Source organism: Homo sapiens, chromosome 1 (genome assembly GCF_000001405.40).
Source record: "Homo sapiens chromosome 1, GRCh38.p14 Primary Assembly".
Lineage (NCBI taxonomy): Eukaryota > Metazoa > Chordata > Mammalia > Primates > Hominidae > Homo > Homo sapiens.
This window is the reverse complement of record NC_000001.11, coordinates 243,661,519-243,688,034: the sequence shown is the minus strand read 5'-3', so window position 1 is coordinate 243,688,034 and position 26,516 is coordinate 243,661,519. Positions and strand designations below refer to the sequence as shown.

General features: G+C 36.8%; 1 protein-coding gene across 12 annotated transcripts in view; it reads left to right on the top strand.

Annotated features, from left to right (window-relative positions):
* Positions 1-26,516, top strand: part of AKT3 (AKT serine/threonine kinase 3) — a 362,847-nt gene that overhangs the window by 163,045 nt on the left and 173,286 nt on the right. For 11 of the 12 annotated variants that reach the window (NM_181690.2, NM_001370074.1, XM_047420641.1 and 8 more), the window contains one exon: positions 23,152-23,263. In NM_181690.2, coding sequence (NP_859029.1) covers positions 23,152-23,263 — 112 coding nt within the window. Of the gene's footprint in view, positions 1-4,724; positions 4,839-23,151; positions 23,264-26,516 lie in introns of all 12 variants that reach the window. The other variant, XM_047424332.1, reaches the window with a different exon arrangement.

Below are 26,516 nucleotides of genomic sequence, written 5' to 3'. Positions count from 1 at the left end.
CCTTAGATACTTGTTTTTTTCTTTATGCTATCAAATTTTTAGACAAATGGAAAGTTATATCTGTTAACAGGTGTATCCCACTGTAAGGAATAGCTGCCTTATCTTAAGAAGTGAATTACCGTAAATTTAATCAAATTTTGCTTCTCGCTTCTATTTTCATAGGTAGTGTTATGTTCAGATATTTGCAGAATTTAACCTTAAACCAAGTTTAGAATTGGGAATGGAGAAAACCTTTGTAAAAATTATTTTAAAATGAGATCATTTTTAAGAAAACTATAATGTAACAATGTCACATATTTCCTTCTTCAGGCTCCAATTCAAATCATACTCCAATTTGAAAAGAACAAAAATTCCACAAAACGTTCATTCTTTCCTACTTTTTCCTTACGTTGTACAACAAATGTGGAAAGAAAAAAAAAACAGAAAAAGTGTATCCCATCTTAATGAAAATGACTGCGGCAGTCAAGAGTTTCAAATCCAGCTGCCAGGGGTGAAAGCAACCCTCTGCATCTCTGAAAGATTTCATCAGTGTTATCTCCTTTATAATCATAACTTTTCATGTGTATCATCTGAGTTTCTTATTAAATAATCTCACTATTTTAATAGTTCCTTCATTATAACACTACAGGTGATCTGATCAGATTTCTGTTTTAGAGCCTGCTTCCTCTTCTTTAGTAGCTTCCACGATCTCCCAGCCTTTTCCTGATTTGTATTCCCAAGCCAATCATTTTAGTTACAGTCTTTACTTTCTGAGCCTCTTTTATCAGAATATAAGGAATGGGGGGGCTTATTTAGAATCAAAGGGAATGGTAAACTTGTAGAAGACAGTGACCATGCATACTCATTTTAAAAATGTCCCACAGCATTTATTACAATATCTGGTATACTGGAACATCATTGGACTTGTAGTCAGAAGACCTGACTTTGGGACTAGGTTCTACTGCTTTACTAGCTATGTGATCTTGGGCAAATCACATAACTTCTCTGATTTTCATTTTGCTCATCTTTGAACAATGGAGCTAATGATACCTTCTTCACAGGCTTACAGTGAGGATCAAGTGAGATCATATAGCCGAGTGGTGTGGCTCACGCCTGTAATCCCAGAACTTTGGGAGGCTGAGGTGGGTGGATCACTTGAGGTCAGGAATTTGAGAGCAGCCTGGCCAACATGATGAAACCCCCATCTCTACTAAAAATACAAAGATTAGCTGGGCTTGGTGGGGCACACCTATAGTCCCAGCTACTGGGCTGAAGCAGGAGAATTGCTTGAACCCGGGAGGTGGAAGTTGCAGTGAGCCAAGACCATGCCACTGTACTCAAGCCTTGGCGACAGAGCAAGACTTTGTCTCAAAAAAAAAAAAAAAAAAAAAAAAAAAAAAAAAATATATATATATATATATATATGAAAACAATTTGTATGTTGTAAAATGCTATCCAAATAGTATTAACGTAAGATAGAAGGTACTTAGTAATGTTTGCTGAATTAACTGGCAATCATTCCTCCTTTAGCTAAATTACATTGGAGTGAGGAGGAAACCACTTTACTGAGCTTTCTTTAAAGAGTCTTAAAGGTTTTAGAGAACTTGCTTACAACAGTCTGTTGCAGTTGAGGCCAAATACTATTGTTTGGTTGGAGGAAAATTTCTAGTTTCATTTCATGCCTAGGACTTTGATTAGTCAGGGCTATTCTTTCTTAATGACTAAACAGAGTGAGGTACATTCCCAAACCCTGCTTATGGCCTCCTTCTGGCCAAAAAAGAAGACATCACTATGGCTAAAGAAGTAACACCTAATTCTGTGAAGAAAGTCAATGGTAGCTTGATGGGGATAGCATTGAACCTATAAATTACTTTGGGCAGTATGGCCATTTTCACGATATTGATCCTTTCTATCCATGAGCATGGAATGTTTTTCCATTTGTTTGTGTCCTCTCTTATTTCCTTGAGCAGTGGTTTGTAGCCTTCCGTGAAGAGGTCCTTCACATCCCTTGTAAGTTGTATTCCTAGGTATTTTGTTCTCTTTGTAGCAATTGTGAATAGGAGTTCACTCATGATTTGGCTCTCTGTTTGTCTGTTATTGTTGTATAGGAATGCTTGTGATTTTTGCACATTGATTTTGTATCCTGAGACTTTACTGAAGTTGCTTATCAGCTTAAGGAGATTGGGGCTGAGAAGAAGGGGTTTTCTAAATATACAATCATGGCATCTGCAAACAGAGATAATTTGACTTCCTCTCTTCCTATTTGAATCCCCTTTATTTCTTTATCTTGCCTGATTTCCCTAGCCAGAACTTCCAATACTATGTTGAATAGGAGTGGTGAGAGAGGGCATCCTTGTCTTGTGCTGGTTTTCAAAGGGAATGCCAAGAAAGAGCCCATATAGCCAAAACAATCCTAAGCCAAAAGAACAAAGCTGGAGGCATCACGCTACCTGACTTCATACTATACTACAAGGCTACAGTAACAAAAACAGCGTGCTACTGGTACCAAAACAGACATGTAGACCAATGGAACACAACAGAGGCCTCAGAAATAACACCACACATCTACAGTCATCTGATCTTTGACAAACCTGACAAAAACAAGCAATGGGGAAAGGATTCTCTTATTTAATAAATGGTGTTGGGAAAACTGGCTAGCCATATGCAGAAAACTGAAACTGGACCCCTTCCTTACACTTTATGCACAAATTAACTCAAGATGGATTAAAGACTTAAATGTGAGACCAAAAACCATAAAAACCCTAAAACTGTAAAACCATAAAAACCCTGGAAGAAAACCTAGGCAATAATATTCAGGACATAGGTATGGGCAAAGACTTCATGTCTAAAACACCAAAAGCAATGGCAACAAAAGCCAAAATTGACAAACGGGATTTAATTAAACTAAAGAGATTCTGCACAGCAAAAGAAACTATCATTAGAGTGAACAGGCAGCCTACAGAATGGGAGAAAATTTTCGCAATCTATCCACCTGTCAAAGGGCTAATATCCAGAATCTACAAGGAACTTAAACAAATCTACAGGAAAAAAGTACCCCATCAAAAAGTGGGCAAAGGATATGAACAAACACTATGCAAAAGAAGACATTTATGTGGCCAACCAACATATGAAAAAAAGCTCATCATCACTGGTCATTAGAGAAATGCAAATCAAAACACAATGAGATACCATCCCACGCCAGTTAGAATGGTGATCATTAAAAAGTCAGGAAACAACAGATGCTGAAGAGGATGTGGAGAAATAGGAATGCTTTTACACTATTGGTGGGAGTGTAAATTAGTTCAACCGTTGTGGAAGACAGTGTGGCGATTCCTCAAGGATCTAGAACTAGAAATACCATTTGACCCAGCAATTCCATTACTGGGTATACACCCAAAGGATTATAAATCATTTTGCTATAAAGACACATGCACACGTATGTTTATTGCAGCCCTATTCACAATAGCAAAGACTTGGAACCAACCCAAATGACCATCAGTGATAGACTGGATGAAGAAAATGTGGCACATACATACCATGGAATACTATGCAGCCATAAGAAAGGATGAGTTCATGTCCTTTGCAGGGACATGGATGAATCTGGAAACCATCATTCTGAGCAAACTCTCACAGGAACAGATAACCAAACACCGCATGTTCTCATTCATAAGTGGGAGTTGAACAGTGAGAACACAGGGACACAGGGAGGGGAACATCACACACCGGGGCATGTTGAGAGATTGGGGGCTAGGGGAGGGATAGCATTAGGAGAAATACCTAATGTAGATGACAGGTTGATGGGTGCAGCAAACCACCATGGCACGTGTATACCTATGTAACAAACCTGCACGTTCTGCACATGTACCCCAGAACTTAAAAGTATAATAAAAAAAAGTAAAAAACATTTATACAAAAAAAAGTATTCAATTAACATATATTGATTGCTAAAAAAAAAATAAATAAGATCTAACACCATTGGATCAGAGACAAGAGTTTGGGTGAGGGCAAGGGGAACGGGGTATAGACCAAATTCTTCAAACCCTGGGCTTTGGAAGACAAAGCTGCTGCAGGCTGAGAAAGACCTGTGTGACTGTTGTTATTCCCTTTTTAGTCAGAAGTTGTTTTTTCTTAAAGTAATAAAATCCTTCAGTATTTTTCTGACTGGTTGAAGAGGATCCTATCCATTGGAGGAAAAATTAAAGGTACTTTGCTTCCTAGATTACTGCTTTATTGAGAGGTGGAGGATGCAATGGGGATTGTTTTTAAAGGAAGGCAGGCAAGTAGTTATCAGCTTCAATAGTTTATACTGAGGACATAGAAGAGATTCCAGCATGACCACCTTCCTTTATTCCTTTCTTTTTCCCTCTTTCCTTTCCTCTGTATCTGCCTTCCCCCCTTTCTGTCTCACTCAACTTTTTCGAAGGTCAGCAATCAACTATTACTTGTTGATAGGTGCTTAAGTAAGGGAATACCCTACATATAATTAGTATCACTCAATTATTTTTAAATACTTAGGACTCCTTCCTTGATTTTCTTTTCTAGCCATCTCAAATAACAACCATTTGCACCTACTGTGTTTTGAAGTTTTCTACCTTGTGTGTATGTGTTTGACTTAAAGTAACACAATTTGGAAACATAGGAGTCATCAAAATTAATATTTAAATATATTTTTTAGGAAGTCTAAATTGTAATGAATATTTAGGAAGTTTTTATTGAGGGTTATTATGTTCTCAACATTGTACCAGGTACTGAGGGGAAAAAAGAAGGAAATAAGGAAACCAACCTTTCTTTGAGCGTTACTATGTATCAAGCCCTTTCACATATGTTTTCTCATTTTATCTTCACAACAACACTGTGAGGTAAGTATTATGCTCCCCATTTTAAAGGAACTCAGAGTGGTTATATGACTTGCTTAGGCCACTGTTTGGCAAATGGCAGAGCCCACAGCATGAACCCATGTCTAACAGAGTGAACCTAGAGTTTTGTGTTCATTTTCTTATTCCACAGATACAAGATCTAGCCCTTGGCTTTAAAGAATTTATAGTCTAGTAGCAAAAATATGCCACAGACCCTTGGGATTGGTATTTTGAGATGTTTTATGGCTAAGTTTTGAAGGGAGTTTTGCAATTAATACATGCAGTTACAATTTAGGAAAAAGAGGTATCATTAAAGACAGAATCATCAAGAAAAGCTTCTTTGGACATTGAGATTGTTTGGAGAAATAGTAAGATTTCAAAAGATAAAGTTACTTTCCAGGTAACAAGAATAGCATTAATTTGAAAAATTATTTCTGAGAAACTTTGGCTGAATTTCTTTTCATCTTGTCAAAGTAAGTGGGTATGAAATCTTCAGAAATGAATGAAAGCTCCAGATGGTATGTTATGTCCTTATCCCTGTATAGAGTGAAAAATATCAAATGAGGAAAAAGAATAAATGATAGGAATAAATATGGCGTTTGAAATACTTAGCAGAATGCCCTAATCATGTCAGACATTGTTTTCTCAGGGCCACAGTTAGGCACTAGCTACCCTGTTTGTTAGCTTACCTCGTGTTTTATTTGTAGTTTCTGTAGTAACATTGCTGTTCATCTTTTCTCCTGGTAGAATATAAAATAATTTTACTGACAAATAAATACTCCATTTTAAAATCCTACCTACAGAGTTTTTAAAATTTAAGCTAAAAAGGTTATAAACTGTAGCTTGGAAGGTGGTACATTATCTCTTTATATATTTATTTTTTAAAAATTTGCCTTCTTGTATGTAGGGAAGTTGGAGTATTGTGGATGGGAAGTGGAGGGTGGGGTAGGAGGATCACCACCTGCAGCCTGCGTGTGATAAGGCAACTGTAGTGTATTTACTGTATAATTTTTTTATGACCTTATTAAACGTATAGATTATTTTGGTTAAGTTGAATGTAGATAACTATTTGATTTACTTGTTGAATTTTTTTTTTAGTGTGTCATTTTAAACTTAAATTTATAGTTTCTAGAAAGAGGATTGTGCGTAACTAGTTTTTGAAATTGTAATTAGAAAGATGATTGTTTGCCCATTATATTTGGTGTTTTAATCTCATTTTATAATTAATACATCGGAAATTAGGAGGGCAATTAAGGAAGTAAAGGAAGAAAATTAACATTTTTAAAGAGCCTGCTTTTTACAAGGTGTTTTATTTGTGTAATTGCATTTTGTCATCACATGAAAAACATGAAATAAATATTATTACTTAAAGGAAAAAAAACTAGATAATGAATCTGAGACCTAGAGAGACTGAAAAACTTGCCCAGAACCTCAAAGCAAGTACGTGGCAGAACTGTGATTTGAACTCTAACACCTGGTTTGAATGCATTTAATCATATATGGTGTTCAGAGATGACAGCTCTCTTCAAGTAATACGTCGTCAGCACCCATAGAACTTTCGTGCTATGCCACGTATCACCCAGTGGGTTAATAGTGGACTCTCATTGTTGTCAGGAGTTGTATTATATATAATAGCGAGACTTCTTTCTGCTAGAGCAAAGGAACAAATATAGATGTCGTAGATGGGTGGCTGATAAATTTGATAGAGTTTTATTATGTAATGTTGAGCCAGTCGCTTAACCATACTGGGACTCAGAATTTTGTCATCTGTAGAGTGAGGGAGTTAGAGTGAAGGATCTCTAAAGTCCTTTCTTCTAATTCTAAATTCAGTGGTTTGCCTATCAGCAGCAGATAATTATTTCTTGAAATATTGAGTATATTGTGGAGTAGTATAGTAATAAATTACCACTTGTTGAGTACCTTCTGCCTCGTATTTTACATACATATATATATGTACATACATACACATATATGTGTGTGTTAGTAAGATATATTTAATGTTACTAACATCTTTGGAGGACAAACAGTCTATTTTATAGCTGGAGAAACTAGGTTCATGGAATTTCCCAGTGGCAAGGAATTCTTTCAGAGATGGAGCTGGGAGATAAACCTGCAGCTTTCAAGTTTCCAGACCAGTGCTTTTTCCATATTCCTACTTAACTAATGGATCTCTGACTACCTTACAGTAGGGCCTTGAGGTGAGAGGTTTTCCAGTGTGGGCAATTCAGAAGATATGGGTTTTCCATGCCTCTAGACTAGTCTGTCTGTCTGTATCATGGATCAGATCTTGTCATTCTTGACTAATACATGAAGATGTATTTGAGAACTTTTGGATAATTCCATTTAGGGAAACAGCAGCTTAATGTAGATGATTCACTAGTATGTGAAGATTTCAGCATTGCTTTTCCAACTAAGTCATAGAAGCCATAGGGGAGACACTGATTTTTTTTAGAGGCAGAATCATCTGAATATTTGCAGTAAGTTATATAATCATTGCATTTTTAACAAGTTGAACTTGAGGGACATGTTTTGTTGCTTCCTCTGAGTTGATACATGCTAAATTATTGGCTTTCTGATTTTTTCACCCCTATATCTTTATTTTAATTTAAAAGCGTTTATTATACTTTGAGTAAAGTTAAATGAGGCCTAAGGCCACATTGGGAGGAAGAACCTTTAAGCCTTGGAATTTAGGAAAGATACAGAGGCGTTCTTTTGGGTTGGAAATAATACATAATCAAGCAGATGCTAATGAAAAAATGAAATGCAGGGGAAGAGAAAAGAGACTAGGGTGCCTGTTTGGAAGTTTTATAGAGGAGAGTACATTGCCCCTTTATTACAATAATGTTTCTGAACTATAATAAGGTCTTTCATTGCAAGTTCAGCTTTTTTCATTCATTTGTTTTGTGCTCTGCTTCCTCTGTTACTAATTGTCAGCACAATAGTCTTCCAACTATGAAGTCTCAGTGTCCTTTTGGACCAATTTGTCATTGTCTTTCTCCCTCACCCCCCAACCCATGCACTCAGAATCTATTACTATGGTTGCATTTTTAGACATTTTTAATGTTTTAAAATGGCACTGCTTTTGAAACCTGCCAGAATAGTTCATGATAACTGAATCATCCAACCAGCAACAGTTATTGCTTCCAAAAGCACACTGATAAAGTTTCTGTCTCTATAGGGTGTTCTTATAAGATAATTAAAAATAAACATGTAATAATCTTTACAGCACTATTTCATATGCATTGTTTCCTTTGAACTTCACGTTAGTCCTGTGTAACATTTTGTTAAAATATTTTTGTTAAACAGTATTATTTACAGATTTACTGTTTGCCTCATAAATTGTTTGATATTTCTATGCCTCTAGGAAGTTCCATCTCTCTTCTTTACCTATTGATGGGTCTTTATTTTTATAGACAGATTATTTTATTATGACTAAGGAATCAGCAAAGTTGGCTTAGACTGACAAGCCTGAATAAATTCTGATATTAGACTCCAGGCAACTTTAGTTACATGTTAATTCATGTTAGGTTTTTAACATTTTGGCCAATGAACACTTTAAATGTGTTCTCAGCCTTGTTCCAATAATCTGATACTGACAGAAAGACATTATTTAAATATAACTTCTATAAAGAAGTCCTGAAGCAGTGTAATATTACTTGACAACTTATCTGTCACTTACAGAACTTTGTCTTATGTGATCAGAGCTTGTTGGTGCTTTTACATATAATGTCAATGAAGATGGCAGTTATTTTTAATGCATGAATACTAAATAAAAGATTGGTCAGTTTTCTCTGGGAGAAAACATATTTCAGTTCTCTATCACCTGTTTGTATCAATTTATTCACATAAAACTAGAAAGTGAAATACAGTTGACCCTTGAGCAATGCAAAGTTTAGGGGCTTCAACCCTTGTGTAGTCAAACATCCTTGTTCTAACTTTTGACTCCCCCAAACTTAGCTACCAATATCCTACTGTTGCCCAGAAGCTTTACCAATAAACAGTTAATTGATACATATTTTGTGTATTACATGCACTATATACTGTATTCTTATAATGTAAGCAAGAGAAAATGTTATTAAGAAAATCATAAGGAAGAGAAAATATATTTGCTATTCATTAAGTGGAAGTGGATCATAAAGGTCTTCATCCTCATTGTCTTCTTGTTGAGTAGGCTGAGGAGGAGGAGAAAGAGAAGGCGTTAGTCTTTCTGTCTCGGGTGGCAGAGATGAAGAGATGTGGAGCGGGTGGAAGGAGAAGGCAGGAGAGATAGGCACATTTGGTGTACTATTATTGAAAAAAATCCATGTATAAGTGGAATTGTGCCGTTCAGACCTGTATTTTCCAAGAGTTGACTGTGTATAAACGTTATTAGAAAGAAAGAAAACTTTACTTCCTTTCATAAACAACCAACATCCATCCTAAAAACAGTATGTGATACAAAAAGAGACATGAATTTAGAGCTAGAAAACCTGGATTTGAGACTCAGTTTTACCACATTAATGGCTTGATGATTTTGAATAAGTGATTTAGACATTAAATAGCTTCCTTTTTAAAAAATTTGTGAACTGGAAATGACCATACTTTAGAACTCAGCTGAGAGGATTAAGTGAGGAATAATGTATGTGAAATCTTAATGTAGTGAATCAACTGATAATATGCTAAGATAATTACTTAGTAGTTACTATTTAAAAAATAAATTTTGGAGAAAGATATAATAGAAAGCAAAATTTTCCTACTGATTTAAATTGGCAGAGATTTAAGATGAGATTTTCCCCCCATTCTTCTAGAGATCAGTGAAGGAGCTGATTCTTTTACTTTACTTCATATAGCTTGCTATCTATCAAACCAGATTTTAAAATGAAGTGTTTTTATTGTTTTTGTTGTTGTTGTTGTTGCTGTAGTAAATACCCAAGAGGCCTTTTTATGTCTGTGGTTGGAACCATCTTTCAAAGCCAGGCTAACTTATTTGGAGTTAGAATTCCTGAAGGCAAAGAAAACACATCTATACCTTCCCCTTAAAGTTTAAAGAAGTTAGAGAGTGCTTTCCAAAGAGGTGGTATTCTGATAATGACTGATAGGCTATCTCTATATTTGACTTTTTTTGTTTGTTTGAGACAAGAGTCTTGCTCTGTTGCCCAGGCTGGAGTGGAATGGCGCGATCTCGGCTCACTGCAACCTCCGCCTCCCAGATTCAAGCAATTCTCCTGCCTCAGCCTCCCAAGCAGATGGGATTACAGGCACCCGCCACCACGCCCAGCTAATTTTTTGTATTTTTAGTAGAGATGGGGTTTCTCCATGTTGTCCAGGCTGGTCTCGAACTCCTGACCTCAGGTAATCCACCCGCCTCAGTCTCCCAAAGTGCTGGGATTACAGGCATGAGCCACCGCACCTACCCTCTATAGTTGATTTTAATGGAATTACTTGATTTGTTTATAATCCTCCACAATTCATTGTTTATTTGGACAGTGCTTTACTCTGGATAAGTAGACCTACCTTTTTATTTTTCTCCAAGGGGGAAAAATCCTTTATTCTTTACATCTACTCCTTTCACCTTTTCCTGTGGAAAAAAAAATATCTCAAGTATTAGAGCTGTTGCTCCAAAATCAAAAATATGATTAGGATTCAAAAATATCTATTTTTTGAAAAGTATGTTTTTTGAAAAATATATTTTTTCATATATATGAAATATATAAATATACATTTTATGAGAAAAAAATAAGTTGTGAGAAATTATATTGTTTCTGAAATGTTTCCTGAAGCTTTTCCTAGAATTCAGTCTGTATGTGCTTAGATTTTGATGAATAGAAAAGAACTATGAGAAGTATTCCAAATTCCCTGAAACTTAAGGAGTTCCACTCAAAACAGTCAAATAAATCACAGCATATGATGAAGTACCACCATATGGGATACAAATAAGTGTAGTAGATCTTCAGGGATAGAGAGTATGAGTTGGAATAAGAGAAGATCTTGAGTGACTAGAATCTAAGTAAAAAGGAAGGGAGTATGTGTCAGGTGAGAGAAACAGCATGAGTTGTTAAATCCTGAAGTTAATAATAATCAGATAATTTTTAGGGGACAGTGAAGAGACATGTTTATTAGCAGAAAGTACTTATAGTTTGGCAGTGAGGAATACAGTTTGAAACTTTTTGTTTTAATTAATGGGGCTTCCTTATGAATAGCTTTGAAAGTCAGGCTAAGAAATGTATTTGAACATTGTCCTGCAGACAGGAAAATATTTTTGAAGAGAATGACATACAGTTTAAGAATTTGGGTAGGACTCATCTTACTAGTAGTATGTAGGACAACTTAGGGAGAAGGGTAGAAAAGGGAGACCACCTAAGAGGTCATTTCAGTGATGAGGATTTTGATAGTAAGTTCCCGGGTTGGGTGTCAGCAGTGGACAAAAAAAGGATGATTCCAAGAGTCATAACGAACAAACTGTTAACATGAATGTTGGTGGCTTAGCCATGAGGGCTGAAAGAGAAGGACGAGCCAGAGATGACTGAGGAAGTGTTTCTTGGGTGATTAGGAAGATGATATGGAAATAAAATAGAAAAACTGTACTGGTATAGTAATTTTCAACTTGGAAGCTGAAACAAACAAAAACAAAACCCTTTTGGATATCTTGAGGATGAGGCAGTATAGGGCATCAAAGGAGATGCTAGTTTTGCCATATGGGGATGGAGCTTGATGAGAAGGGCCGTGACTGAAGAAGCAGGTTTGAGAGTCATCAGACATCAGGTGTCAGTCGATGCAGAGCTACTGGGGAGCCTATCTATAATTAAATCCAAAGTCCTTACCAACTCATTGAAGATCTTTCTAACCTCATCTCCTACCTTTTTTCCTAACTTACTTGACTCCAATTACACTGGGCTTCTTGCTGTTTCACAAATCCATCTGTGGAATCCCTCCAGCTGTGAGTCTGCACTTAATGTTCATTCTGTGTAACTTACTCTTCCCGAAGGTAATCTGCATTGGCCTCTCATTTCATTAGAGACACCCTTTTAAATTAATCTTTCGAAAATAGTATCACCTCCCGTTCACTTCAACTCGTTGACCTGCCTTATTTTTCTTCATATTGTTTATAAGCACCTACTATGTTATAAATTAATTGTTTTGCTTGTTTATTGTTTGACTACTCATCCCCTCAGTAAAATATAAGCTTTATGGAAAATAGGCACCTTGTTTTGTTCACTGCTATTCAGTGCCTAGGTTACTGGCTGATATACTGTGGGTACCTAACAAATATTGTGTAATTAATGTCTAGATTTACTATGGGAAAAAATGTCAAAAATAAAAGCATAACAGAAAGGTCTGAGCCTTTGGAAGGTAAAGGTCTGAGCCTCTACTTTGGAAGTAGAGGCCCTAAGAAAAACTAATGAATGGTATGGGATGGTAGTAAAACCAGGCAAGTCAGTGTCATGGAGGTCAAGGAAAAGGGACTCAAAGGATAGGGAGCCAAGAACATCAAATGCTGCAAAGAAATGAAAATGAGAACAAGGAAAATATATCTGATAAAAAGGAGACTGCAGTAGAGTGGTGGAAACCAGAATTTAGCTAATTGGTTAAGGCATGGGTAACAAAGGCCAGCCTTGTAGATTATTTTGAGTGATTTACCAGCAAAACGAAGGAGAGGAATGGGGCAGTTAGCGGGAAGAGGAGCAGCATTTAATACAAGTGCTTTAAAGAGTGACTTTGAGGCTGGATGTAGTGGCTCACGCCTGTAATCCTAGCACTTTGGGAAGTGGAGGCGGGCTGATCACCTGAGGTCAGGAGTTTGAGACCAGCCTGGCTAACATGGTGAAACCCCGTCTCTACTAAAAATACAAAAAATTAGCTGGGCGTGGTAGTATGCGCCTGTAATCCCAGTTACTCAGGAGGCTGAGGCAGGAGAATGGCGTGAGCCCAGGAGGCAGAGGTTGCAGTGAGCCGAGATTGTGCCACTGCACTCCATCATGGATGACAAAGCAAGGCTCCATCTCAAAAAAAAAGTGACTTTGAATCTGCATCTTGGTCTTTGTATATGTTTATTGTTTATTTCACTGTGGTATGTATGCACTGATAAGCTACTTTGAAGATACGTGAGTAGAAATTGTCTCATTGGTACAGATGGAAATCTCGAGGCATTTAAGTTGTAAGTTACTTCTAAGTGGGACCTATGCAATTGGTACATATGGACATAAAGATGGAAATAATAGACACTGCGGACTCCAAAAAGGAGAAGGGTGGGACAAGGACCAGAAAACTACCTATTGAGTACTATGTTCATTATTTGGGTGATGAGTTCACTAGAAGCCCATATCTCAGCTTTATACAATACACCCATGTAACAAACCTGCACATCTACTTCATGAATTGAAAATTTTTTTAAAAGCTGTATCACAATCACATCTAATAAAACTAATCTTTAGTATTACCAAGTACAAATTCATATTCAGATTTCCCACTTGTTGCCTAAAACTGGTTTGTTTAGACCAGAATGCATTAAGGAGGACCACGCATTGCATTTGGTTTTTATAAATCTTTTAAGTCCCTACTAGTCCAGCAGAGTATTAGACTACCTTCCTCACCCCTCTTTTGGGTACATTCACTTATTAAAGAGACTACTTCATTTGTCCTGTGAAAGTTCTGTCTTATGGAATTCTCTGATCGTTTCTACGAGGTGTCATTTAACTTTTCCTCTACCTCTGTATTTACTGTAAAAGGAAGTTAGATCTAAGGATTCCATCAGATTCATATTCAGAATTTTTATCAAGATTGTTTCCTTCGTGAGTCTGTGTACTTCATATTGCGTTATGTCAAGAGGTACCTAGTATTTGGTTGACCAGCTCTTAGTAATGCTATCATTGTTCACTGGGTTACGGTGGTGACAGTGTCATCTCTTCATTATAAACTAAGTTTCTCTCATGTGGTTACCAGATAATCTGTGGTTTGACATGTTGGCACTATGCAATATTTAGTCTTAATTAGTTATTTACCAAATGATTTTACCATTGGTGATTTTTGCCTGAATTAATTATTTTATTAGGGGTAGATTATCTTTTAGGTATTTTTTAACATGATTTCAATTAGCCAAGGCACAGATAAATTGGGGCAGTATGTTAGTCATTCTGTTTATTTATTTGAGACCAGCCCTGTTTAGGCATAGTACCAGAAATCAAATAGTATGGACCTTCCCCTAAGGGAATTTTCAATCTAATGTACATTCTTGTTGAATTGTTTAAAAATTTTGTTATCAAATCCCAGTTTCATCATGTTTCAAATATAAATAGCTTTTCTTAAAAATAGACCGGGCACAGTGGCTCACGCCTGTAATCCCAGCACTTTGGTAGGCTGAGGTGGGTGGATCACGAGGTCAAGAGACCGAGACCATCCTGACCAACATGATGAAACCCCATCCCTACTAAAAATACAAAACTTAGCTGGGCCTAGTGGCGCACGCCTGTAGTCCTCGCTACTCCGGAGGCTGAGGCAGGAGAATTGCTTGAAACCCGGGAGGCGGAGGTTGCAGTGAGCCGAGATCGCGCCACTGCACTCCAGCCTGGTGAAAGAGCAAGACTCTGTCTAAAAAAAAAAAAAAAAAAAAAATCTCATAATTATTTTTCAGATTTTACCATGTTATGTAATGAATGGTTAAATATCCTGTGTACATCTGAGTAATTTACTTCTGTTTCATGCATTATGACTATAAATAAACTGCTTATTCTGGTGTATGAGTACAATGGAGTTTTATGCCACTATTAAATATAATGATGTAGATCTTTATTTACTGAAATGGAAAATATCCAAAACATATAATATCATCAATAATGGTCTCATTTTTGTTTCTAAAAAGTGCTTAGAATAGGTCTAAAAATGTATGTATTCAAACACTAATAATGGTTATAACTGAATGGTAGGATTATGAGTATTTTTATTTTGCCTATACTTATGTATGTATTTTTCTGTATTAAGCATGGATGATTTATACAGTGAAAGTAAATCAAGAAATATGTTTGAAAACCATCTTGCCCACACAACAATTTGAATTCAGTAATGTCACCAAACTGTATACTTAAAATGGTTAAAATGGTACATTTCATGTTATGTATATTTTACTACATTTTTAAAAAGCCCATGGCTATTATACTGCAAAAACCAAAATCAAAGCCAAAAAACCAACATGCCTAATTCCTTGAGTCCACTAGATGTTTGCATGCCTCTTATAATTCTTTTAGTAAATGCCTTATGTCATTTTTATATTTTAACTATTGTCTCAAAATGACCACAGTACGTTTATTTGGAATTTCAAGTAGGCAGAAAGTATGCCAAGAACAGTTGTTCCAGAAGACTCTTGAGGTGTATGTTTGTTTAATTAGAGGCAGGATTCGGTGGGCAAACAAGACAGAGAAATGTTGATGGGGAAAATATTGGCTCTGTAAGTGTGCTTTTGGTAAATGGTAGTATCTGTAGTGACCATATTCAAAGAAGAAAAATGTGTTAGGAGAAGTTCACATTAACATATCGTGACTTCAAATTCAACTCAAGTTCATAAATAGTATTTCATGTTAATTCCAAAGTGGTGGTTTATGATAATTAAAATGTCACAATTTGGAATGTGGATGATGAAGTGAAAAACATCTTCTAGAGGGAAATGTAATGTTAGTAATCCAGTCTGACTCCCATTATTTATTGAACCCCTTGTATTATGGAATCAAATGTAAGAACTTTGTCTTCTCTCCTATTTGCTTATGTGGAGAGAGATATGTTGAGTTTGGGTGATAAAACGCAAATGGTTCAGACAAAAATAACTAGCAATGCGGAGCTGGATTGATGTGAGTCTGCAGATCACTTTTCCATTATTAGTAATTGAACTTTTTTTAATCATTAACTTCATTGGTATTGGAGAATGTGAGAGCCAGCAGTGAAAGAACCCAAAGGCTCTCTTGCCTTCCTTTCTGCTATCCTTACCACTTTCTTTCCCTTCAGCTTCTCATTCTAAACCGCCTCCCGTTACTCCTACCTGGAGAAACGAGATGTCAAGGATCAGCATCCTGCTAGGGGATAACCCTCATTCCTGTCCATCCCTATACTGTGGAGAGAACCAGAGGCAAACACATTGGAGCCCTCTCCCGCTCAAACACTGTTATCAGTTGAAACTTATCCTGGATTTGCTTATATGAGAAAAAGTGTCATAGATGGGAGAAGGGCCAAGCACGGGGAAGGTGTAGAGAAGGTATAGAAGAGGGAACAGACATTCCTATGGCTTTGACAGATGATTACTGATTTTTAAGGCATTTTTCCTAGCAGTGTATTCTCTTCAGAAGAGCATGGGATTGGGATTGAGATAGACTTGGAATAAATCCTTATATAATGACTCACAGTTGTGTGTTTTGGGGCAAGTTATTTAGCTTGCCTGAGTCTTGTAAATTTGCTCATTTAGAAAATGGAAGATAATAACACCTTTTAGGTTTTTCCTTTGGATTAAATGAATAACATTTATGCACCACTCTTTGTGCAGTGCTTGGAACGTAGTGATCACTCAACAGTTATCTGCTGCTGGAATGCTCTCTACCAGGACACCTGCCTCACCTAAGTCACCTTCCGCTCATTGGATTAAATGAATCTCTTAAAGGTTGATGTATTGAGTCTTAAATAGGTGTTATGCTTTTTTGCCCCTAGTGAAAACATTAAACAAAAGATAGAAATGCTTTTTGTCCCCTTCAGAGAACCTCCATGGTGTATCATATTTTTAAGACCTGAAAAATAAATTTGGTTTATGGTCATCATAACTCACAGCCAGCATTATTTCATTATGTGATTTAATAAAAAATGGAATCTGGCCGGATGCAGTGGCTCACGCCTGTAATCCCAGCGCTTTGGGAGGCCGAGGTGGGCGGATCATGAGGTCAGGAAATCGAGAGACCATCCTGGCTAACACAGTGAAACCCCGTCTCTACTAAAAATACAAAAAAATTAGCTGGATGTGGTGGTGGCCACCTGTAGTCCCAGCTACTCAGGAGGCTGAGGCAGGAGAATGGCATGAACCCGGGAGGTGGAGCTTGCATGAGCCGAGATTGCGCCACTGCACTCCAGCCTGGGCAACAGAGCGAGACTCCGTCTCAAAAAAAAAAAAAAAAAAGGAATCTATTATTATGCCTTCGTTTTTCACATTGGATGTTATTTTAGAAAGAATAAAATTAGTGTTTAAATGGCTAAAGAGGTTGGTTGAAATTAAACCTTTAAACATTTTAATCTAAACAGATGATCTCTAAAAATTTTTTTTTTGGTGTATGTATTTCTTGGTCTGACATGTTGCAGTCTCTCTAATTGGGTTTCAGGTTTGCAGAGTAATTACAGCTTTGTACAGACTTTGTCATCTGTGGCTCAGAATGGTGTAAAGTAAGCAGAACATTTAAAATTCAGCTTGTGGTTCATGTTGCTCAGTAGAGTTTAACTAGTGTATAACTATCTAATATAAGTAACAGTGTAACAAATAACACTGAGAAGTAGATGTTATAATAAGAGTTAGCTACCTGGCATTTTGTATAAGCACATTTACTTTACTGATGCATATTAAATGATTCTAAAAATCGTAGATAATCATTTGGTTAATAGCTTTTTAGAATCTCTATCCAAAGTTTCTACTTCTGATTTTTAAAATTTAAATTGCCCTACCTTGCGTTGGGAATCTTTACGTAACCAAAAGGCAAATATTCTTCTAAAGAAGTATTGGCTAATCCATTTATTAACCACCATTTCCTTTAAGAATCATGTGTTTCTGATTCCTTATTGCGAACATGCAAGAACTCAAAAGTTTTTCTATTTACTCGATCACTGGTTTTAACATGGTAATTTAGAGTTTTAACTTTTTTGAATTTGGATTCAGCTTTTTAAATTACATTTGTTTTGTACAGCAACAAACCATAAGACATTGTGATATTCTCTTGGTAGTGATCCAACTACCACTTGAACATCTTGGTGTAGAGATGAAATGTGTTTGTAGAGTATTTCATACTGAGACCTAAAAAATATAGGTTTATTTCTATTATACTGTTTATTTGTAATTACACGTAACATTATTTTTGTTGGACTAGAGGGTTCACAGGACCTGATTAAACCCTTTATAGCATAAATGAAATACTACTTTATAATTACATGGGTAGAATGATCAGTAGTATGGTGTGTACCATGAGCTCATAGAGTTTCCTACTCATTTTTGTGTGCCCAGCATTTTGCATAGTGCTTGGCCCATAACTGACATTTCATATATGTCATTTGGTTCATGAATACTTAGCAAGTTTAGTAAGAACAGTGAAGTTGTGCATAACTACTTAGTCATTATGTTACTATTTTAATATTTTTCCAAACCACTCTATACATAAATACAGGTATTTTATTCTTTTCTAAGCCATTCCTTTTCAGTGATCTGCTTGAGAATGGTAATTATAGTAATATCTTTTATTGTTTTTAGCAGCCTTATAAATTATAGTAATTGATATTTGGAATCTTATAACAGCACTTCGAGTAGCTTCTAAAAGTCTAGTGTTGAGAAGTTCTTTAAATTATAGCATTTAAACTTCATTTAGGTATAGTGTTGAAAATATGCTTTTAATTCATGATAGTGCTTTTAAAGATGATAAACCTGAGGGCTTAGATATAAAGTACTTTCAAAAGGATCACACAGCTGATTGTGTTAGAGCCTGGATTTGAATTTCTTTCTGATTGCAGAGTCCATTATCTTAATTACCTTATATCACCATAATGGGAACCTGAAGTAAAACTGAAATAGTGAACCTCAGACCGGGCATTCTTTCTTTGCTTCTGTGCTGTATTTCTCTGTACCCCATAGTATTTCTCTTGGGCACGCCCCTCATTTAAGTGTCTGTCCTCCATTCTTTACGTTTAAAGCCAGCCAATCAGTTGCCCAATCAGGGTATTTATTGTATACTCCTATGTCCTGTCACTGTCCTAGGTGCTATAAGAAGAACTGTGCACACAATTCCTAACTTTTAAGTAATATAGCTAGTGAATTACTGGCTGGAAATTTAATAGGGCTTTTGAAAAGAAGGATATGGGGAGGAACAGTTGGCTTCAAAGAGAATCAGACTGATGGGCAGAGTCAGTCATAGGAATTGGTTGGCTCTTTATTAGTATAAATTAGTATAATGTCTTTGGTATTTTAAAACTTAAGTCTTTCAAATGAACAATATTTTTGCTTATTTTTTGTGGAATATATATTTTGTGTTTTTTAACTTTCATATTTCAAAAAATGTCATGCTGCTATACAAAGTTGAATTGTGATATAATAGATTTTATGACCTATTGATTCTACCACCTTTTCATTGTCTTGCACATCCCCAGGTTCTCACTTTCCTCCATACCCATTTTAAGTTTCTTAGTTGAGTATCATAATCACTCCCTTGCCTTGCATTCTTTATTCTTTTCTGTCTTCTTGCTTTGACAAACTTACTTGGTTAAAGTACAGCCTTGCTTAAATTCATTACTCTATGTTCCTCACCTGTACACATGCAGCTGAATATATCTGGGTATATCTGGGAGAAAATACACAACCATGATCTCTGTTATTAGTTTAAATTCTTCATTATTAAATTCAGGTTGGTCCTTCATCCTTCTCGGCAGTCATGGTTGGTCTCCTTAGCCTATTTGTACTTTGATTTTCCCAGAGTGCTATTTCATATCTTTTTTTCTTCAAAGCCTGATGGATCCTTTTGCAACGTTATTCCCGATGACTTTATATCCTAATTCACTGAAAAAAACAGAAGCAGTGAGAAAATAATTTCTACCAGCTTTTACTTGCTTCTGTACTCCTAATTGCATTTGGGCCCTTATATCTTCTCTTTTATTTTATTACTAAACTATTTATACTCCTGATTAGAGCTACCCCTTTACTTGTCCAGTAAATTTAATCCCTTCTTGCTTATATAGGTACATTGCTTTAGAAATTATCTTTTGGTAGCATCAAAATTACCTTCTTTGTTGGATTATTACTATCAGAATTCATTTGGAAAATGTTTATTGAGTACCTACTATGTGTCTGGCATAGTTCTAAGTGCTAAGAATATATGAATGGAGCTTACAATCTAGTTGAAAAGACAATAAGCAAAAAAGATACTAAAAAACTTCATATCAAATGTTAGAAAATGGTAACATGCTATGGAAAATAAAAAATAGAGCAGGTAAGAGAAGATGGAGGGAGAGTCCTAGGTAAGGGGTGCAGATTGCAGTATTAAATAGGATGTCTAAGAGAGCAGCTGTGCGGGTGTGTGAGGGGGGAAAGAATGTTAGGCAGAGGGCAAAAAGCTCTAAAGCAGAAAGAGTGTAGTGCATTGTTGAGGAAATGCAGGGAAGCCAGGGTGGCTGGCAGAGCAGCCTGAAAGAGAGTACTAAGGAAGTAGGTCAGAAACTTCAGTGGGGTCAGTGGGAGGGTCAGATCACGTAGGACACCTGCTGATCACTTAAAGGCCTTACTCATCTATTCTTAGTGAACTGAAACACTGCAGAACTTTTTTGCAGATCTTCATTTTAAGAAGATTTCTGGCTGCTGTGTTGAGAACAGACTGCAGTGAGGGGCAGGGAAAAGCTATTCTAAGTTTTTTGGAATCATCAGGTGAGAGACAATGATGGCTTAGTCTGAGGTAGTGGAGGTGGTGAGAAGTTATCAGAAGCTGGTTATGTTTTTAAAGTAGAAACACCAAGATTTGCAGGAGGAGTGAATGTGATGTCAGGGAAGAGAGGACTCCAAGGGAATTCTTGGGTTTTCAGCTTGGGCAATTGAAAGGATGGAGGTGTCATGTGAGATAGAGGAAGCCACAGTAGAGGTTGGCAGAAGAAGGAGCAGGGTTGAGAGAGGTCAAGAGTTCACGTTCGGACATGTTCAGATGTCTCCCAGAGCACAGTTTCTGTCTTTAACTTACATAGTCACTCAGCATCTCTAAATAGGAAGAATCTTGTCTTAGGGCAGCCGGGAGGTTTAGGCATTGGGCACACAGAATCTGAAGTAGAATTATAGCAGTGGAAAACCAGTTACGAATGGTCTCCCACTTACAGTAGTTCATGGTAACGATGTCTTACTTTACCGTGCTCCTGACAGCAGTACACACTCAATGGAGATTGTATTTCAAATTTTGGATTTTTGTCTTTTCCTGGGGTAGTGATTTGCTGTGTGATACTCCCTAGTGATGCTGGGCAGCAGCAGCAAATCACAGCTTGCAGTCAGCCACGTGATCACAACATGCACAGTAGATACTCTACAGTGTACTGTGTTGCCAGCATTTTTCTGGATGCTCTTAGTTTTTGTGTTTTCTCATCTCATCATGTCGACAAAACACCCATCTATGTGTAATATTCAATACTTTACTACAAAACAGGCTTTGTGTTGGATGATTTTTGTCCAACTCTAGGCTAATGGAAGTGTTCTGAGCATGTTTCAAGTAGGTTAGGCTAATCTATGATGTTGGGTAGTCTAGGTGTATTAAATGCATTTTTGCCTTATAATATTTCTGACTTACGATGGTTGTATTGGAATGTAACACAGTCATAAGTCGAGGAGCACCTGTAATGACAAATAGTACCAGTATCAAAAAGGAAGATCAGTTTATGTTTCAGCCTGGGTGATGGAAAATTATGAAAGCCAGGAGGAGGAATGAATTTTAGGGGGAAAATACTGAGTTTGGTTTTAGGGGTGGTCCAGTAATTCAACCAGGTAGAAATATTCACTATGTGTTTAGACACGTGTGTCTTAAAGTAGAACTGCAAGGTGAAAAAAGTTTGGATTTTGATATTGGTAAACTGAGAGATGATTGCTGAAAACATGTAAACTGTTAGAAAACTAAGCAGAGACCCTTGGGTGAATGATTTCTCTCAGTGTAAAGGGCCAATAAAGAGCTAATCTGGGGCTGGATACGGTGGATCAAGCCCGTAATCCCAGCACTTTGGGAGGCCGAGGCGGGCGGATCACTTGAGGTCAGGAGTTCGAGATCAGCTTGGCCAACATGGTGAAACCCCATCTCTACTAAAATTAGAAAAATAAGCTGGGCATGGTGGTGCACGCCTGTAATCACAGCAACTTGGGTGGCTGAGGCATGACAATCACTTGAACCCAGCAGGCAGAGGTTACGGTGAGCCGAGATCGCGCCACTGCACTCCAGCCTGGGTGACAGAGCGAGACTGTCTCAAACAAACAAACAAACAAAAACACAGCTAATCTGAGTAAAGAATTGGAACTATAAAGAGATAGAAATGGCAGTTGATAGTTGCTAATGATGGAGATAGGACACAGCAGATAAGCACTGAGAAAAGACTTGAAGTTTTCAACGGAGATAAATTAGTTTCTTCCAAAAGAGCAGAGTCAGCAGACAACCCTACCCTATTTTTTCTTGGTGTCCAATACCATTTATCCTTTAAAGCCCAGCTCAGATGTATGCCAAATAATAGTTAATGTTTGTTGAAAGCTTATAGGTCTCATATTATGCTAATATTAGATGAACTTATTATTAATTCCTACATCAATTCTATGATGTAGATACTGTTTCCCACTTAACTGTTGAAGACTAGCGAGTTTAATTAATTTGTCCAAGTTTGTGTAGTTAATGGTACGAAAAAATAATTGAATCTACGCACACCAGTGTCAGAGAATCCATACTTTAGGCTCATGTTTGTTGACATCTTCCTAGTTATTCAGTAACAGAATTTAATCATGTTTAGAGTGACTGGCTCTTGGGGCAGTGGATACTAAGAGTTACAGGCAGTTTATATTGTCAAAAAGCTTATAATCTAGGTAAGGATAAGTGATATTTGTCATTTTCTTAAAATGATAAGTAATACTGTAAGATAGTCTATGGTAAGTGACACATGAGGGATATGGTAATAAGTAAAGAGAATAGAGAGGATGAAATGGTCAGTCTAGGGCGAGGTGTTATGGAAGGTTTCATGGAAGGAATAATATTTGATCTGGACCTTCAAGGATCAGTACTATTGTGACTGCAGGTGATGCATATGGATAGAGGTAAAATAAGTGAGGAAAGTATTTCAGATAGCAAGAACAGCTGGAGCAAAGGCATAAATAAATGAAAGAGTTAAGATGTGTGTTTGGGGAAAATTATATAGTCCAGTTGAGGTGGTTAATGTGGCCAGAATGGGTGAAGGATTGGAAAGGAAGACTAAGGTCAGGCTGTAAATAATCTTGAGTGGAGAACCATAGAAAGCTGTGAGTTCGCACTGGGTTTTGTTTAAAATAGAACTCTGTAGTTCTCAATTATTTACTTCTTGTTTTAAATATATCCATATTTAAAGAAACATTTTATTTTATTCTTAGAATGCCAGTTAATGAAAACAGAACGACCAAAGCCAAACACATTTATAATCAGATGTCTCCAGTGGACTACTGTTATAGAGAGAACATTTCATGTAGATACTCCAGAGGAAAGGTAAGAAATTCACTTGTTTTCATTTTGTGAAAAAGCAACACTCAATCTAAAGATGTATTTGTATCTGACTTTATTATTTGTAAATATATATAAATATATTTTTTTAAATGCTATAGTCTCTAAATTCTTGCTTCTGGCATAATACATGAATAACAGTGGCTTACAAAATAATATTTAATATATCAGAACCTCTGGGCATGCTAGAAGATATACTTTCAGAGAAACAGAACATTTAAAGGTTAAAATATAAATTTAAAAAGACATTTTTGGCCTGGCGCGGTGGCTCACGCCTGTAATCCCAGCACTCTGGGAGGCTGAGGCAGGTGGATCACAAGGTCAGGAGATCGAGACTATCCTGGCTGACAAGGTGAAACCCTGTCGCTACTAAAAAAACACACACACAAAAAATCAGCCAGGCGTGGTGGCGGGCGCCTGTAGTCCCAGCTACTCAGGAGGCTGAGGCAGGAGAATGGCATGAACCCAGGAGGTGGAGCTTGCAGTGAGCCGAGATTGCGCCACTGCACTCCAGCCTGGGCGACAGAGCGAGACTCTGTCTCAAAAAAAAAAAAAAAAAAAAAAAAAAAAAGACATTTTTATAGCCAAACTACCTTTTTTAAAAAATTGTATAATTGATTGTATTCATACTTGAAATTCCAAGGCTAGTGATAGTAAAAGATTTCAAGTAACATGCCATTCTAAATTAGTTGTAAGTGGCTGTCTGGAGCACTAAGTTGCTAAGGATTCTGAGATTGGGTCTAAGGAGCGGGAGAGAGGATTAATTAGCATTGACTGTCATTATTACTAAAGTGGGTAGTGACAACACTGTAGTAACCAACTCATCAACTTCATCAGGTCCACATTTTTATCCTCCTGATCTATCAGTTTTTACAACCACTTCCCAATTCTATATCTGCTCACTCTGATACTGAGTTAGGTCCAGTGACCACAGTCACAAAACCACCATCCTGCACATGTTATTATATTTGATCCTAATCAGCAACTTTGTGAAGTTAAATCTTATTAGCCTTATTTTCCAAATGAATACACAAAGTTTTAACAGTCTTGTCTAAAATTTTAATAAAAGCAAAATGGTAAAGTATTATTTTAATAACACTTTTGATCAGTAGAGTAAATGGTAATGTATGATTGATTAAGAAATATAGAAAAGAGTTAAGCACTGATAATATTTTCTTTTGTGCACTTCCAATCTTACTATGTGCAGACGTAATTAGGCCTTTCATATAGATACAGTTCTGGGTATGGGTCCCCGAACTCTTACCCTGCCTGCACACCCTCCCCTCCCTGCACTGCCTCCCTCCCCGCACACCCTCCCCTCCCCACCATTGATCCTGGGCCTTTTCTCCCTTGATAATTAATACTGAGCTTTCAATTTGTTGATATGTCCACCCATAATCCATAATCACTAAGTTGGGCTAATTCCTATGTATCTTTTCAGATCTGAGCTTAAAATGTTATTTTTCCTACAAAACCTCTGACTCTAATAGACTAGGCAGGTTCCCCTGCTAGGTACTTAGATATTTTTCTTTGTACCTTTTCTATCAATCATATTATAACTGTAATCCTTGTTTGCCATTCTCACTAAACTTGAAGATTCTTGACAGCAAAGATGATGGCTTCCTTGCTCATTTAAAACATCTTTTGCACATAGTCCATGGCCCAACACAGTATTTATTGACTGGCTGGATGAATGGTACTTTTCCCATGTCAATATATATTCTTTGAAAATGTTATTCTTAGTGGATTTTTAACATCTGTTGAAGCACAATTCATTTTGCCATTTGTGTTTACAAAGCTGGATTTCTGTCAGATCTTAAGACTCTAAAATCCTCTGCTGTTCCTGTAATAATATACTACTCTTCTGAACAATCAGTTTTCATTTGCATTTATAACTATAAGAAAAAACAGTATTAATACAAATGAAAAACAGCATACTCATATTTGCCATTGGTATGTGCATTTCTATATACCTCTAGAATCTGGTGTTTGGACATTCTATATGACTTGATTTTTTTTTCTAAATTTTTATTTTATTTTATTTATTATTATTATACTTTAAGTTTCAGGGTACATGTGCACAATGTGCAGGTTAGTTACATATGTATACATGTGCCATGCTGGTGCGCTGCACCCACTAACTCGTCATCTAGCATTAGATATATCTCCCAATGCTATCCCTCCCCCCTCCCCCCACCCCACAACAGTCCCCAGAGTGTGATGTTCCCCTTCCTGTGTCCATGTGTTCTCATTGTTCAGTTCCCACCTATGAGTGAGAATATGTGGTGTTTGGTTTTTTGTCCTTGCGATAGTTTACTGAGAATGATGATTTCCAATTTCATCCATGTCCCTACAAAGGACATGAACTCATCATTTTTTATGGCTGCATAGTATTCCATGGTGTATTTATGCCACATTTTCTTCATCCAGTCTATCATTGTTGGACATTTGGGTTGGTTCCAAGTCTTTGCTATTGTGAATAGTGCCACAATAAACATACATGTGCATGTGTCTTTATAGCAGCATGATTTATAGTCCTTTGGGTATATACCCAGTTATGGGATGGCTGGGTCAAATGGTATTTCTAGTTCTAGGTCCCTGAGGAATGGCCACACTGACTTCCACAATGGTTGAACTAGTTTACAGTCCCACCAACAGTGTAAAAGTGTTCCTATTTCTCCACATCCTCTCCAGCACCTGTTGTTTCCTGACTTTTTAATGATTGCCATTCTAACTGGTGTGAGATGGTATCTCATTGTGGTTTTGATTTGCATTTCTCTGATGGCCAGTGATGGTGAGCATTTTTTCATGTGTTTTTTGGCTGCATAAATGTCTTCTTTTGAGAAGTGTCTGTTCATGTCCTTCGCCCACTTTTTGATGGGGTTGTTTGTTTTTTTCTTGTAAATTTGTTTGAGTTCATTGTAGATTCTGGATATTAGCTCTTTGTCAGATGAGTAGGTTGTGAAAATTTTCTCCCATTTTGTAGGTTGCCTGTTCACTCTGATGGTAGTTTCTTTTGCTGTGCAGAAGCTCTTTAGTTTAATTAGATCCCATTTGTCAATTTTGGCTTTTGTTGCCATTGCTTTTTGTGTTTTAGACATGAAGTCCTTGCCCTTGCCTATGTCCTGAATGGTAATGCCTAGGTTTTCTTCTAGGGTTTTTATGGTTTTAGGTCTAACGTTTAAGTCTTTAATCCATCTTGAATTGATTTTTGTATAAGGTGTAAGGAAGGGATCCA